The 13,966-nt window shown below is 58.3% G+C and overlaps 1 protein-coding gene across 2 annotated transcripts in view; it reads right to left on the bottom strand.

The window, feature by feature from the left end:
• The window catches only part of KCNJ12 (potassium inwardly rectifying channel subfamily J member 12), a 43,514-nt gene that overhangs the window by 28,987 nt on the left and 561 nt on the right, over nucleotides 1–13,966 (bottom strand). The window contains exon 1 of one of the 2 annotated variants that reach the window (XM_005256625.6): nucleotides 13,558–13,964. The exons of the other annotated variant lie outside the window; for it this stretch is intronic. The gene's annotated coding sequence lies outside the window, so the exon portion shown is untranslated. Of the gene's footprint in view, nucleotides 1–13,557; nucleotides 13,965–13,966 lie in introns of those variants that run through there. 2 annotated transcript variants of the gene reach the window in all.

Below are 13,966 nucleotides of genomic sequence, written 5' to 3'. Positions count from 1 at the left end.
TGTGAATGCACTAAATACCACTGAATTGTTCACTTTTAAATGGTTAATTTCATCTTATGTGAATTTCACCTTCAAGAAAAAAGAACTGTATTTCACCTCCAAGAAAAAAACATTGGGAGGAGACACACAAAGGAGATTTGAAACCAACCACAGCCTGACAGATCCAACCCCAACTCCTCCCAGCAGCTCAGAGCCACAACCAAACTCTGGACCAGGGAGCTGGAAGAAATGCTTATTGTTACAAGAAAGGAGGGAAGGAAAGAAAGAAAACCAGAAATGCTGCTGCAGCCTCCAGACCCTGCAATTGCTCCCCCTCCCCATCCCTGTGCCCCCGCCCCTTGGTCAGGCTCCGTCCACCTCTGGCCACCGGCCCCGCTTCCCTTGGACATCCTCCCAGCTCCTGCCCTGACTCCACGCAGGTCTGGGCCCCTTCTCCAGAAGCGAGTCCCTCTCCCATGGAGTCTATGGTCAGTGGTCCACTGGCACAGAAGCTCCGTGGGGCAGGACTTTGTTTTGTGCCTTGGAGCGTCCTGGGGCCTGGGGAGCAGTGCCCATCCCAGTGGGCCCTCCATCGCCACCTTTGGAAGGATTCACTCCCAACCAGGGTGTAGTGCAGGGTCCAGCGGAGGGAGGGAGCCTTGAGACAGCGATAGCCTTGGGTGGGCAAGAGGGGTGGGCCCTGTGGGTGAGGGGTGACAGTCCATCATGGGGAGGGAAGCTGTGAGGGGCAGGAGTTGAAATTCTCTTCGATTTTCTCAGTGAAAGAGGTGGTTACCCTGCTGGTGGGGAGTCAGGGACCCTTGAGGGAGAAAGCCAAGAATGGGGCAGGAGTGGGGGCCTGGGAGCTGGGCCCGAGAAAGAGAGAGAAGGTTCTGGAATGAGGCAGGAGGAGGAGGGTCTGGGACCAGCACCCCAGCTCAGAAGCAGGACGTGCAGTGAGAGGCAGGGCAAGGCTGATGGGCAGCCCTGAGCAGCAAGGCCACAGCTGGACTCAGGGTTCATGCCCTTTAAGTCTTGCTCCCTGCATGTCACAGGGAGGGCTAGGAAGCAGGTGGCTGGGGACCTCCCTGCCTGGGGCCCAGGGATGGTTTTGAAAGGCTCTGTAAGAGCTCCCCTGAGCTGAACACTGGTGCTGGGGGACACAGGTGCCACAGCAGCCCCCAACCCCCACGTGGGGCCAGGATCCAGGGCCTCTTCCCCAGGAAACCGTCCCTGCCCCACCACACCCCCACCCTCTGCAGAGACCTCCACTCAGCCATGGGGCTCTGAGGGCACAGCTGCTTCCCCCTCAGGACTGGGGATCCCCAAAGTTAAGTGAATGAGTGAGTGGGTAAGTAAGTCATTGACTTACTCCCCAAGCAGCGAAGCTGCCGCCACCACAAACTGCGGTATCACACAGGGCCCACAGATTCGTGGGAAGCCTGAGCTCAGCCAGGGGGCCAGGGCTCCGGGATGTGGTACACATGGAGAGAGGCCATTTCACCTCTAGGGAACGGGTGAAGGGGCAGGCCTCACCCTGAGAGCAGGGTCTCTCCCTGCCCATGCCCCCAGCACACGACAGTGCTCAGGCAATGGCTTGTCCTCTTAGCTTGGTCTAGGGGCAAGAAAGAGGTGCCTGGACCAGCCATGCTCTGTGGCTGAGGTCACAGGTGGGAGGCAAGACTCTGGGCAGTCCCTCCCCTTCTCCCGGCCTCCATTTCTCCACCTGTGAATAGCAGGACTCAGACCCCGTCCTCTGGAATTCTGAAACAGCCTAACACCTGGCCAGGCAAGCTCCCCGCACAACTGCAGTTTAAATGGGGTAAATTTGGCTCCATTTCTCACAGTAGGGAAATGAGGTTCAGAGAGGTGATGCAGCTTACCTCAAGTCACACAGCAGATGGGGGTGGGAGAGCAGCCCGTGTCAATCCAGGCCCCAAGTTCATGCCCAGCGCTGCCATTCCAAGCCAGAGACATCTCAGTGGCAAAACGCCTCCTGGATCCCAGGCCCAGGATGTCTCTACCTTCCCTCGGGGGGGGCCCAGCGGGGCCTTCTTTAGAGAACCGAGGCTTCCCGATTGGGGTTCAAATCTGGCTTGGCCACCGCCTCCCCCAGTGGCCCCATCTCTCAAGCCCCACTCCTTGCCTGGCTGGGACATTTTGAGAATTCAGTGAGATAATGTTCGGGAAAGCACTGAGCACAGCGCCTGGCACCAGCCGCCGCTGGGTAAGCAGTCGTTTTCATTATTGTTTTGGGGTGCCAAGCCTCAGCACGACGTCACACTACTTCCTGAGAAATAAAGGCACCCGGTGACACCACAGGCTGCTGGATTCACCACCGGGCCATTTGTATTGCTGGGGATCCCAAATTTCCTGGCGGCAGTTGGGAGCCACAGGAGGGGGCCAAGGACACCCAAGCTCCCTTGGCCAAGGGGCATTATAGCAATCCCACCTACACCCACCTCCAGAGGGACTAGGGTGTGGCAAGGGGGTCACAGGTATGAGCCCAACCCCTCCCTCTGGGCAGTGAGGAGCCACACTCTCGGGCTCCACGCGCAGGCAAGAACGCTGGCACGGGATGGGGTATGGCAGGTCCTCCCAACGCCCCGCTCAGGCGTCTGAAGCGAGGCCGCTGCTCCCCATCCCTGGGTGAGCCATAGAGACCCAGGAGGATGACAGAGGGCTGGCATGTGGCCAGGGCATCCCACCCACTCCCTGAGGGCTTCTCTGCCGGGAAGGATAAGGTCAGGAAAACACCCTCCCTGCAGGAGCCGGCAGCTGCCAGAAATGGAACTACAACAAGAGGTTTTAACTTGAAAAGCCACTACACCTCTAAAACAAAGGAGACGCCAAGCAGAACGATGACAGCGGGGCTGCCATCTTCACGGCCAGAACTGGTGGCCTCAGCAGTGGGGGAGGAGTGGAAGGAAGGGACCCAGTGCACACAGACTCTGTCAAGGGGGCTACCAACCAGCACGACCCTCGGGGGGCACAGCAGTGACACCTCAAAACCACAAAGACACAGCCCCTCAAGCAAACAGGCCATTTCCAGAACTTTCTCTTGGACAGGTGGGGCAGGAGGACCTCCGTGTCCAGGAATTACAGCAGCATTACATCACTGACAGCTGAGGGTTGGAGGGAAACCTAAAAGTGAGCGCTTCAGTGAGGCCAGTTAACTAAACAGAAATACAGCCTCCTGTGGGAAATACCAGTTAGATGTTCACACCAGTTGCTGACAGACATAATAATAAAAGGTGTCATCTCCCACACCCTCCGACAGGGGAAGGACCATTCATAGCTCCACTTCCCAGGTGAGGAAACTGAGACACAGGGCAGCTGGGAAACCCACCCGAGGATGCACTGCTGGTAGCTGATGCCAAAACACCTCACCCCAGCGCTCGATGTCTCCAAAGTATGGTTCTAAAAAAGAGAACGTTTCTTTTTTTTTTTTTTTTTTTTTTTTTGAGATAGAGTCTCGCTCTGTCGCCAGGCTGGAGTGCTATGGCGCGATCTCGGCTCACTGCAAGCTCCGCCTCCCAGGTTCACGCCATTCTCCTGCCTCAGCCTCCCGAGTAGCTGGGACTACAGGCGCCTGCCACCACGCCCGGCTAATTTTTTGTATTTTCAGTAGAGATGGGGTTTCACCGTGTTAGCCAGGATGGTCTCGATCTCCTGACCTCGTGATCTGCCCACCTCGGCCTCCCAAAATGGAGAGCACGTTTCTTGTTTTTGTTTTTGTTTTTGTTTTTGAGACGGAGTCTCGCTCTGTCACCCAGGCTGGAATGCAGTGGCGCGATCTCCGCTCACTGCAGGCTCCGCCCCCCGGGTTCACGCCATTCTCCTGCCTCAGCCTCCTGAGTAGCTGGGACTACAGGGAGAGCACGTTTCTTAAAAGAGAAAAAGGATGCAGGGTGGCATATCTGGGTTGGCCATGAGTAGTGGCTGAATGGTGCCCTCCCCAAAGAGATGTCCACACAGAACCTGTGAATATGACTTTATTCAGATGAAAAGAGCCTTTGCAAATATAGAGTTTGGATATGAGATCATCCTGTATTAGGGTGGGCCCTGAATCCAATGACAAGCATCCTTAGAAGTAGAGGTCCTGGCGCGGTGATTCACACCTGTAATCCTAGCACTTTGGGAGGCCAAGGTAGACGGATCACAAGGTCAAGAGATCGAGACTATCCTGGCCAGCATGGTGAAACCCCATCTCTACTAAAAATATAAATATTAGCTGGGCGTGGTGGCGCATGCCTGTAGTCCTAGCAACTCAGGAGACTGAGGCAGGAGAATCTCTTGAACCTGGCAGGTGGAGGTTGCAGTGAGCCGAGATCACGCCACTGCACTCCAGCCTGGTGACAGAGCGAGACTCCATATCAAAAAAACATATAGTTAAAAAAAATAAATACAATAAAATTAAAAATTTGCCAGGCATAGTGGTGCACATCTGTAGTCCCAGCTACTTGGGAGATTAAGGCAGGAGGATCACTTGAGCCTGTGAGTTCCAGGTTGCAGTGAGCCATGGTTGACAGAGTGAGACTGTCTCATAACAGAAAGAGTGAGAGAGAGGAGAGGGAGAGGCAGCACAGGGAGAGGAGACCATGTGAAGACAAGAGGCAGAGACTGGAGATGCCCACAAGCCAAGGAATGCCAGGACCGCCAGAAGCCCCAGAAGTTGGGGGAAAGCCCCAGAATGGCTTCTCCCTCAGAGGCTCCGCGAGGAACCAGCCCTGCAGACACCGGTTTCAGACGTCTGGCCTCCAGAACGGATGCTGCATTTGTACTGTTTTAGGCCACCCAGTCTGTTATGGTGGCAGCAGCAGGAAACCAACACAGGGTCTCACTGGCTTGCCGCCCTCTGATCCCTGCCTCGGCTTTCTTTACTGGACCTGGTTGGTGGTGCTGCCAGACTCCTGCCCCAGTGCTCCTTCCACACCCCAGATGCAATGGTAGGCGTGTGGGTTTGCCCAACCCACTTTCTCTAGTGTTCCCATTTCACAGGGGAGGACACTGAGGCTCCCAGGGTTCCTGCTCCCCACCCACTGTCCTCCCAGTCTCCTCTCTATTACCTGCCTTTGATCTGGGGCATCCCCACCCAGCGGCAGCTGGTCCTAAGGCCACCAAGAGCCTGGTCATGAGCCCTGGTGCTGCAGAGTCAGGGCATCTACCGTGGGATGGAGGCCAGGACCCATGAGTGGCCTGGAGGCTGTGCTGGCAGGGCCCAGGCCAGCCTCCACCCTGCAGAGGAAAAGAGGAGGGCAGCGGGGTCTCCTCTGTTACACAACCCCCAGGGAGGGCCGGGGCCACTCCACGGCTACCTCCTGGGGCACTGCCTCCAGTGGTCTTCAAGGCTCCCAGGGCCTGGGGAGGGACCTGGCCGCTCTGACTGGGCAGGTGCTGCTGACAGCTTGCAGCCCAGCAGGCCGGGGTGATGGCAGGGCCGAGCCTCCGGCCACACAGCAGAATAGGGATCAAGGAGGCCAGGAAGCTGCCCTGTCTTGCCTGCAGTGCCCAAGCCCAGAGGGAAGGAGAGAACAGATGCCCAGACACGAGAATGGACTGCCTCCCCATTTCACAAACATGGAAAGTGAGGCTCATAAAAGAAGGGCACCAGGTATATCTGATCCCCACAGACACTGAGACAGATACTGAGAGTGACCACAGACTAGTCACTCTCCCAATCAGTGTAGCAGATCCTTTCTAATAAGGGGCCCTGGTGGAGTAAGGTGGGACCACCCTGATGCATCTCAGGCCAGGTTCCAAGGAATGACAAGGATGGGACAGGCACTGAGATGCGGAAGCTTGGAGACAGGTCAAAGTGACATTCCTGGGTCGGGCACGGTGGCTCACGCCTGTAATCCCAGCACTTTGGGAGGCTGAGGCGGGCGGATCACGAGGTCAGGAGATCGAGACCATCCTGGCTAACACGGTGAAACCCCGTCTCTACTAAAAATACAAAAAAAAATTAGCCGGGCGCGGTGGTGGGTGCCTATAGTCCCAGCTACTCGGGAGGCTGAGGCAGGAGAATGGCGTGAACCCGGGAGGCGGAGATTGCAGTGAGCTGAGATCGCGCCATTGCACTCCAGCCTGGGCGACAGAGTGAGACTCCGTCTCAAAACAAAAAAAAAAAAAAACAAACAAACAACAACAAAAAAAAAAACAAAGTGACATTCCCCACACAGAGGCCTGCCCCAGCCTGAAGACAGTGAGGGAACAAGTGATCCTGTTTCTAGGAGGTCAGGGCTAAGGGAAGAAGAGAGGCTAAAGGAAGAAGGACCCCAGTGGGAGCAGCAATGAGCGCCTCCCCTCCGAGCTCCAGCGTGTCTACTCTGCCCTGAGTGGGAGCCAGGTTCACCCAGAGGTCCCAAAGCCCCAGGCTGCGACTCTGAAGCCCCCCAGACCCTCTGAGCTCTGGGGATGGAGGCAGGGGATCTGGATTATCCCAACTCCCAGAGGGATGTGACGAAGGAGGCACCCAGGCGAGGACTCGGTACCTCTCCTGGTACTTAAACCAAATCCTGCAATCCAGGATCTCTGTCTCAACGCAGCTAAAATGACAACGAAAAGAACCCATGACTCACGGACTTCGGTGGCTCTGTGCATTCAGATGCCACAAAGATCCTACAGTCCCAAGACTCAGCCCTCAATCCATGCCCAGGACGACAGGATGAGACCCCCTGGGTCCAGTGGGCACGGGCACCACACAGCAGTGCGCATAGTGCAGGGGACGCCATGACATGTATGCAATGGTCCCATACGAATTTAAAAAAAGGCAACTTAGATATTAGCACGTTTCTATGCCTCCATTTACTTATTCACGTCTGCATAAGCACTGAGAAACCCAGAAGCCTCTCTAATGATGGTCACCCCAAGGACAAGAAACTCTGGGGGTGGGGGAGGCAGGGGGTGAGGAGGAGAAATTCACTTTTCCCCTTACAACTGTTTATCACTTTACTGTGAGCACATAACACTCTTATAATTAAAAACTGTTATATTCAACAAAATATGACAATGCCCGTGATGGCTCATGTGTTTTTTGTCTATTTCATCCTGCCCCACCCACTGAGATGTCAGCCCCCCAGGGCAGGGGTCTTGTGCAGGCCACATCCCCAGCCACCTGCTGAGCTCAGGAATGAGGCCAAAATCCTGCATCCTCAAAGCTCACCACGCAAATACCTGACCTCTAGGACCTCTAGGATTCTCTGAGAAGGGAAAGGAGGGGATGGAAAGAAAGGGACATCCAGGGGACAGGCTGGGGGTGGCTTGTGATTGGGGATCCCCAGGGCCAAACAGGTGGCTGTGACCCCTGAGTTTGCCCCTCCCAGGCCCTATTTCCACAAGACCCAAGACTGTCAGAAGCCCCACTTTTGAGCATCCCCAACCTGCCCCAGATCCCAGCACCCCTGGAAGCCCCAGGTCTCCATCTGCCTCTGCCCTCCCTGTGATCATGCCAGGACCCGCCCCCTCCGGCCACGCCAAGCTCCCCTGGACCCTCTCTGGCCTCGGCGCCCCCCAGCCCTGAATGGAAGCCTGGCTTGGCCCGGAACCAGGAGCCCCGAGGCAGAGGGTCGGGGCGGGGTTGGCTCGGCTGCTGCCACACAGAACGCCAGCTGCTGGCAGCGATTTATTTTTGCTTTAAGTGCTGGAGAATTGCAGGCCTGGAGCCGCCAGCTCGGGCCCGGCTGCAGCTGGAGCAAGCGGGGCGGGCAGGGGCAAGGGCACACCTCCGGCCACCAGGCCACTCCATCCCCCTTGACCTCTCCTGCCCCCGGCCTTTCATCCTCTCTATCATACACATCTCAGTCTCCACATGCTCCCTTCTCCCCGGCCCCTCCCCTGCCAAGTCCCCAAAAGCTGCCTGGAAGCATCAGGGACAGAGGGTCTGTGGCCTCAAGGCTGCGCCCCAGCCTTCCTCCGGGAACTGTGTGACCTCCGGCTGTGGGGACCCTCTCTGGCCTCAGGCTGCCCGCTCCCACAGTGGAGGTGTCACGTCGCACCCTCCTGTACACCCTTGGGGTGGAGGCAGGGAGGGCTGAGAAGTATCCCTGCTGCCAGTCCTCATGTTACCTGGTTTCCTTTTCTGCCCCCACTCCCCAGGTGAGCCCCAGGAGACAATCTCCCATCCTGGCACACCTGGCTGCACACCTGGCCAACCGGGCACACCTGGCTGAGGCCCAGGACCAGAACCTATCTGCTCCCCACAAAAGGGGCCACCAGCCCTGTCTTTTCTGAGGCAACATGGACATCCAGGGGAGGAGGGACGGGCAGTGCTCAGGCAAGCAGAAAGCATGCCAGTCTCTATAGTTGCAGAGGTGATCACTGCTGGCCACTAAAGCCGCTGGAGTTGATCATTGCAAATCATAAACATTTTTAAACATTTTATAACGTGGGTGTCATGTTCCAAAAAAAAGACTGGAAAGGAGAGGTGAAATGCATTGACATGAAACTCAATGACCGTGGGGAGTCTGGAATGCTTAACTGGGCAAGAAACAGAGACACTGTCCCCTCCCTGCCAGCCCCATCCCCTCAGCCGCCCTCCAAACATGTATGCTGAAGGCAGGAGAAAGGATTCAGCCATCAGCTGAGATATGAGAGGCCCCACGCCCCAGGCCTCAGTTTGCTGGGATCTGCAATGGGAACGGCTTGTGATCCTCAGAAGGAATCAGATGGGGACATCCTGAGCTGAAGCAGGCCAAGTGCTAGAGGACACAACAGGGCTTGGAGCTTGAAGCAGTGAGGGTACAGATATAAAGCACTCCACCCAGAGTAGGGGCCTGAAGGAAGCCCCAACTCCCTCCCACTCAGCCAGACAGACAGATGGCAGGCCAAAGGCTCAGAGAAAAGGTCAGAATCCAGCTCTGTCCACCAACAAGCGCCACAGTTCTTGGACAGTGACCTCTCTGAGGCTCAGTTTTCTCATCTGCAGAATGGGCTGACAATGCTGGCTACCATTGCTACCAAGCACTCACTGCATGTCAGGCACCAGGCCTGGCTGAAGCAGCCCATTCACTCTCTGTGTTTACTGGGCGCCTGCCATCTCCTGCCTACCGCTTAGGCACTGGGGACACAGCTGTGGTAGAATAGGTCCAAAAAGAGGAGATCCTATTCCAAGGGAAAGATAGACAGTAAACAAGATCAGCAAATAAAATATATTGTGGCAGATAGCATTAAGTTCTACAGAGAAAAATAAAGCAGGAAAAGGAACATGGGGGAAAGGGAGGCTGCAGTGTCCCACAGGGGAATCAGGGGAGGTCCTGGAGAGAGGGTGGCATCTGGGCAAGACATGAAAGCGGTAAGGGAGGGGCCGTGCAGAGATCTGGGAAAGAACATTCCAGGCAGAGATAGCAGCATGTGCAAAGGCCCTGAGGTAGGAGTGGGCCTGATCTGTTGGAAGCACAGCAAGGCAAGCAGGAGCGTGGCCCCGGGGAGGGAGCAAGAGTCCTGGAAGTGAGGCCAGACTGTGCAGGGCCCTGAGGGTCCCAGGGAGGAGTGTGGTGGGAATCGACAGAGGGCCCTGACACCCAGAGTGCACCAGGCACATAGAAAGTGCTCAAGGAACAATGGCCCAGAGTGGCTCTGGTAGAAGCCTCCACTCCATAAGCTTTATTGTTTGTTCCCTGGCCCCTCTCCAAGCCTGAGTCCTTCAAAGAGGCCTGGGCTGCAGGTGAGGGCAGGAGAGGGAGGCTTTGGCTGCCCAAGCAGGAGGGAGGGCTCAGTCCAGGTGGGCAGGGGGAGTCAGGCAGGATCCAGGAGGCTGTGCCCACTGACCCTAGGACAGCATTAATGCACAGCCAAGGCGGAACTGCTCCCTGGGGCAGCTGAGAAAGGGGTTCCCACTCCTATCTGGCCAAGCAAATGGAACCATGTCCAATGATGCATGGCTGAAGGCTAATTAGAGGGCTGGGCGGGGGTCCCCAAGGTCTCCACAGCCTCATGCTGCCACTTCAGCAGCCAGGCAGGAAGGAGTGAGCTGTGGAGCACCAGTGGTGGTGATTGGGGTTAGGGGACACTGAGGACACACCAGGAAACAGGAGGCCTGCACTGGGGCCCACTGCCATCTGGGGCCCACTGCCATCTGGGGCCCACTGCCATCTGGGGCCCACTGCCATCTGGGGCCCACTGCTACAGCAACTCGCTGCCCTGCCCTGGGCCTGCTTCCCTACATGTCCAAGGGAAGGTTGGATGGGGAAATGACGAGTTCCCCAGGCTCTGGCTCCACAAATGCTCACACCCCCTCCTTCCCAGATCCCCCTCTCCACACGTCCATTTCTACTGAGACCAGCCCCTCCCCACCCCCAACTCCCAGAGGCACGCTCCAAGTCTCACATTCCTACTGCCCCATCCTGAGCACTCTCCGGAGCCAGTCCCACTTCACAGATGATGAACTGAGGCCAGGAAGAGTGACCCCATCTTGGTGGCAACATCTGCCTCTCTTGCCCCCCTGAGTCTGTCCAAGAGTCTCCTCTGAGATAGTGAGATCCCTGAGGGCAGGGGCTGGGTCTCCCCGTATGCAATGCCCATTGATTAAGCACTTCTGTATGGCTACCCAGCACAGGGGCCACAGCTAGGCAACAGGGCCTGGGGTCTCCAGCCCCAGAACTCAGCCCCCACAGCTCTCACCAGCACAGCAAGGCCTCTGTGGCTGGAAGAAGCAGTCCAGACATGGAATCATCGAGCATTTACTGGGCACCTACTCTGTGCCAGGGCTTAACTAGGTCCTAGGAATACAGCTCCCGGGAGCTGGGATGGCATGCAGGCCTCAGGCCCTGTGTGGGACCTGCCTGGTGGTAAGGCAGGGAGAAAGCTAGCCTGGCAGTCAAATGCCCCTGAGGGGTGTGTCTGTGGAATGGGGGAAGGTGCAGTTCTGTCCCTGGGAAAGCACCAGGGCTCTGGGTCTGAGCCCCACAGGCTGGTGCCTCCAGTGCCTCCCTGGGCCTCCAATCCCTGTCTGCACAATAGAGCTAATGCCACCCTCTGCACTGGCAGGCCATTAGGAAATTAAGTCAGCTGACCCAGGGCTGGGTCCTTGGCCAGTGCCCAGCGGGGGCTCTGGTCCTGCCCCGAGCCCAGCACCTCAGAAAACCCACCTGCCTCTGCCAGGCCCCCCCCCACCCCCAACCCCATGGTGCCTCTGAAGCTCTGGCCAACCTGCACACGGCCCAGTTTCAGGCCAGCTCTCTTTCATCTTCAGCCTTTCCCTGCTGCCGTGTCCCCATCACGCTGCCAGTTCCCGGCACAGCCATCCCGTGGGGCTGAGCCCCCACCCACCGCACCTTCCATGTGGCCAGCCAAGCCTCCACCCCTCCTGCTGCCCGCAAGCTGCCCCCTCCCTGACTCTCCTCCACGCTAGCCGGTGGCAGGGCTCCAAGGGCAGGCCCGGGGAGGGGCAGGTGTACCCATGTGTCGCTCACAGTAAAGCCCTGGCCAGGGCCCAGCCACAGGCACCAGCTGCACCTGTTGGAGGAAGGGCCCAGCCCAGAGCTGGGCCTGGGAGCAGGGGGGGTGAGGGTGGCCACTGGGTGGGCACCGTGTGTACCAGTAGCCTTCTGCCTGGGGACCTGGCGAGGGCCACAGAGGTTGATGACAGTAATGATGCACTCACTTCCGCCCCAGCCATATGCCAAGGCCTCCGGGTGCCACGCTTGGTACTGCCAACTGTGGCCCAGGGTACCGGAGGCCTGGCTAGGCAGAGAAAACTGCCCATAGGCAGAACCGGCCCCAGTGCTGCAGAGCTGCAGGTGCTGCTGCTGCTGTTACTCCTGTTATCACTGCTGTCATTATTATTTTGCTGTTGCAGGGCCACTCAGTGTTACTTTGTCCTGCTTCAAGGAGACCCAGGGATGGGGACACCATGGCCCTGGGGCAGGAAGGCTGGTGGGGTAAGCGCCTGGCCTGGAAAGAGCTAGGTGAAGGCATCTGTCCAAACCCAACCCACTGCATGGTTTTAGGCAATACCCCTCCACCACTTCCCAGGCACCTCTTCCTTCCAGCACAGTTGAGGCACATTCCTGGAGGGGTCCCCTCCGGGGCAGCCTGGAAACCTTATGGGGTTTTGACGGGGTAGCTGCAGGGGGAGTGTCCAGAGATGGACTGACAGCTCAGGTCCTGCCCCTCCCAGAGAAGGCTCCACCCCCTTCAGTGCTGGGGATGAGGGGTGTCAGCCATGCCCTCCCCTGGGAGGGGAAAAAGGAGGTGATAGAGGACTTGGAGCCCCTACCTGCCAGCTCTGGGTCAACAGCCAGCATTTACAGACTGCCTACTGTATGCCTACAGCGGCCCTCCAGTGGAGAAGAGGGGTGTCCCTGTGGCCCAGCACACTGGAGCCACCCTCCTCGTCTCCAGGGTGCTCGAGTGAGTGCCCTCCGCCCTCACTCCCTGCTCTCTCTCAGGCGGCTTGGCCCCACCAAATGGCAGGCCCCCAGGGTCCCCCTCCTAGAGCTGCCAACCTCGGGTCCCCTGTCTGGTTGGAGGTGCCACCAGAGAACTGAGGGGCAGACTTCGCTGTGAAGTCTTTTGTTGGGGGGGGCGGTCCCAGCAGACACTGAGGGGCTCTTCTCAGAATACAGAAGGGAGTACCCCTCAAAAAGAGCGAAAGCCTCTGGTGGCGCCCAGGGCTGAGATGGACCTCCCCTCTCTGACCCTCGCCCGCCACAGGGCGGCGGTCCAGGGCGGAGCTGCGCGAGGAGGGGCCGCGGAGGTGCAGCGCAGCGCGAGGGAGGCTGGGGTCCAGCCGCGCGGCCAGGGACCGGCTCTCCTTTGGCATCTCAGAGGGGGCGAAGGCTAGGCCCAAGGCTAACGCCTTCCGGGTTCGCACCTTCCAAAGGCGGCTGCCGATTTCAGTGGCGTGTGGGCGCCTCGGCGCTCTCGGAGACGGAGCCTGTGAACCTGGGTTTGGGGCGCAGATGTGGGAGCCAGGAGGTCCCCAGCGCTTTATTGCAGGGCTCGAACCTGGGTATAGGGGAGCAAAAAAGAAACTAGAAATGGCCACAGGCAGCGCGGTACTCTAAGATGGGAACGCCCCCTGGGAAATGGGGAGGGGGAGGTCCCAGGTGCGGGCGAGTCCAGGCTGTGAGGAGGCAGGAAAACCTCCCAGAACAAGACCGTCCCCAAAGAAACACTTTGACCCCCATTCTGATCACAGGTTTTAAAATATTCACATGACATGGGCACGCTGGATCAAAACCGAGGCACAGACACTCGCTTGGGCCTCAACTCCCATCTGAACCCCCCAAGGAGCGCCCCACCCCAGCTGTCTCTGCCCATGAGCCCCTGATTCCCGCCCCGCTCCCCCAGGGCACCCGGAGAGGCCGTGCGCGCGCAGGGTGGACCCTGGCCCTGAAACCCTGGGAGCTTCTCAGCCAGCGGCCATCCCCTCGGAGATCAAGGCCGACTTCTAAAAGCAAAAGGGAGCCTCTGGACTTGGCTGACTTGCTGGCATGGAATCATTTCCAGAATATTTTTACTCCATTACAGCACGGGAGGTGAGAAAGAGACACGACTCCAAGAACCCGCAGGTCTCTGACGGGAGGCATTCTCGGGGCGGCTCATATAGCCCGGGCGCCCACCTCCGAACCCCACCTCGATCGCGGGGTCTCCGGGAAGGTCACGCGTAGGACCCGTGCCGCGCGCCAGAGTGCTTCCGCACGCTCCCTCCCGAGCCCCCTAGTGCAAACCAGTCAGAGGGGGGCCGAGGGCTCCTCAAAGTTTCCCGGAGCGCCCCCCAGGACGAAGGTTAGCCAGGAGCAAAGTTCCTTGTGGTGGTAGCCGGAGACATGGCAGGAAAAGAAAAGCTCGCAGTCAGCATTTCCTCCGATGTCTCACCAAGGGAGGGAAAAAAATAAAACGAGAGGAAGAAAACACCCTCCCGCTCCACCTTCCCTGTTGCTGCACAACCTCGTGCTAGCTCCGGGCCGGGCTAGTGGCGAGGCGCGGCCTGCGGGGAACTGGGGCCGGGCCCGGGAGGGACCATGCGCCCGCGGCCGCGCAC

This window comes from Homo sapiens, chromosome 17 (assembly GCF_000001405.40).
Source record: "Homo sapiens chromosome 17, GRCh38.p14 Primary Assembly".
Classification (NCBI taxonomy): Eukaryota; Metazoa; Chordata; class Mammalia; order Primates; family Hominidae; genus Homo; species Homo sapiens.
This window is presented reverse-complemented; position numbering and strand designations above follow the sequence as displayed.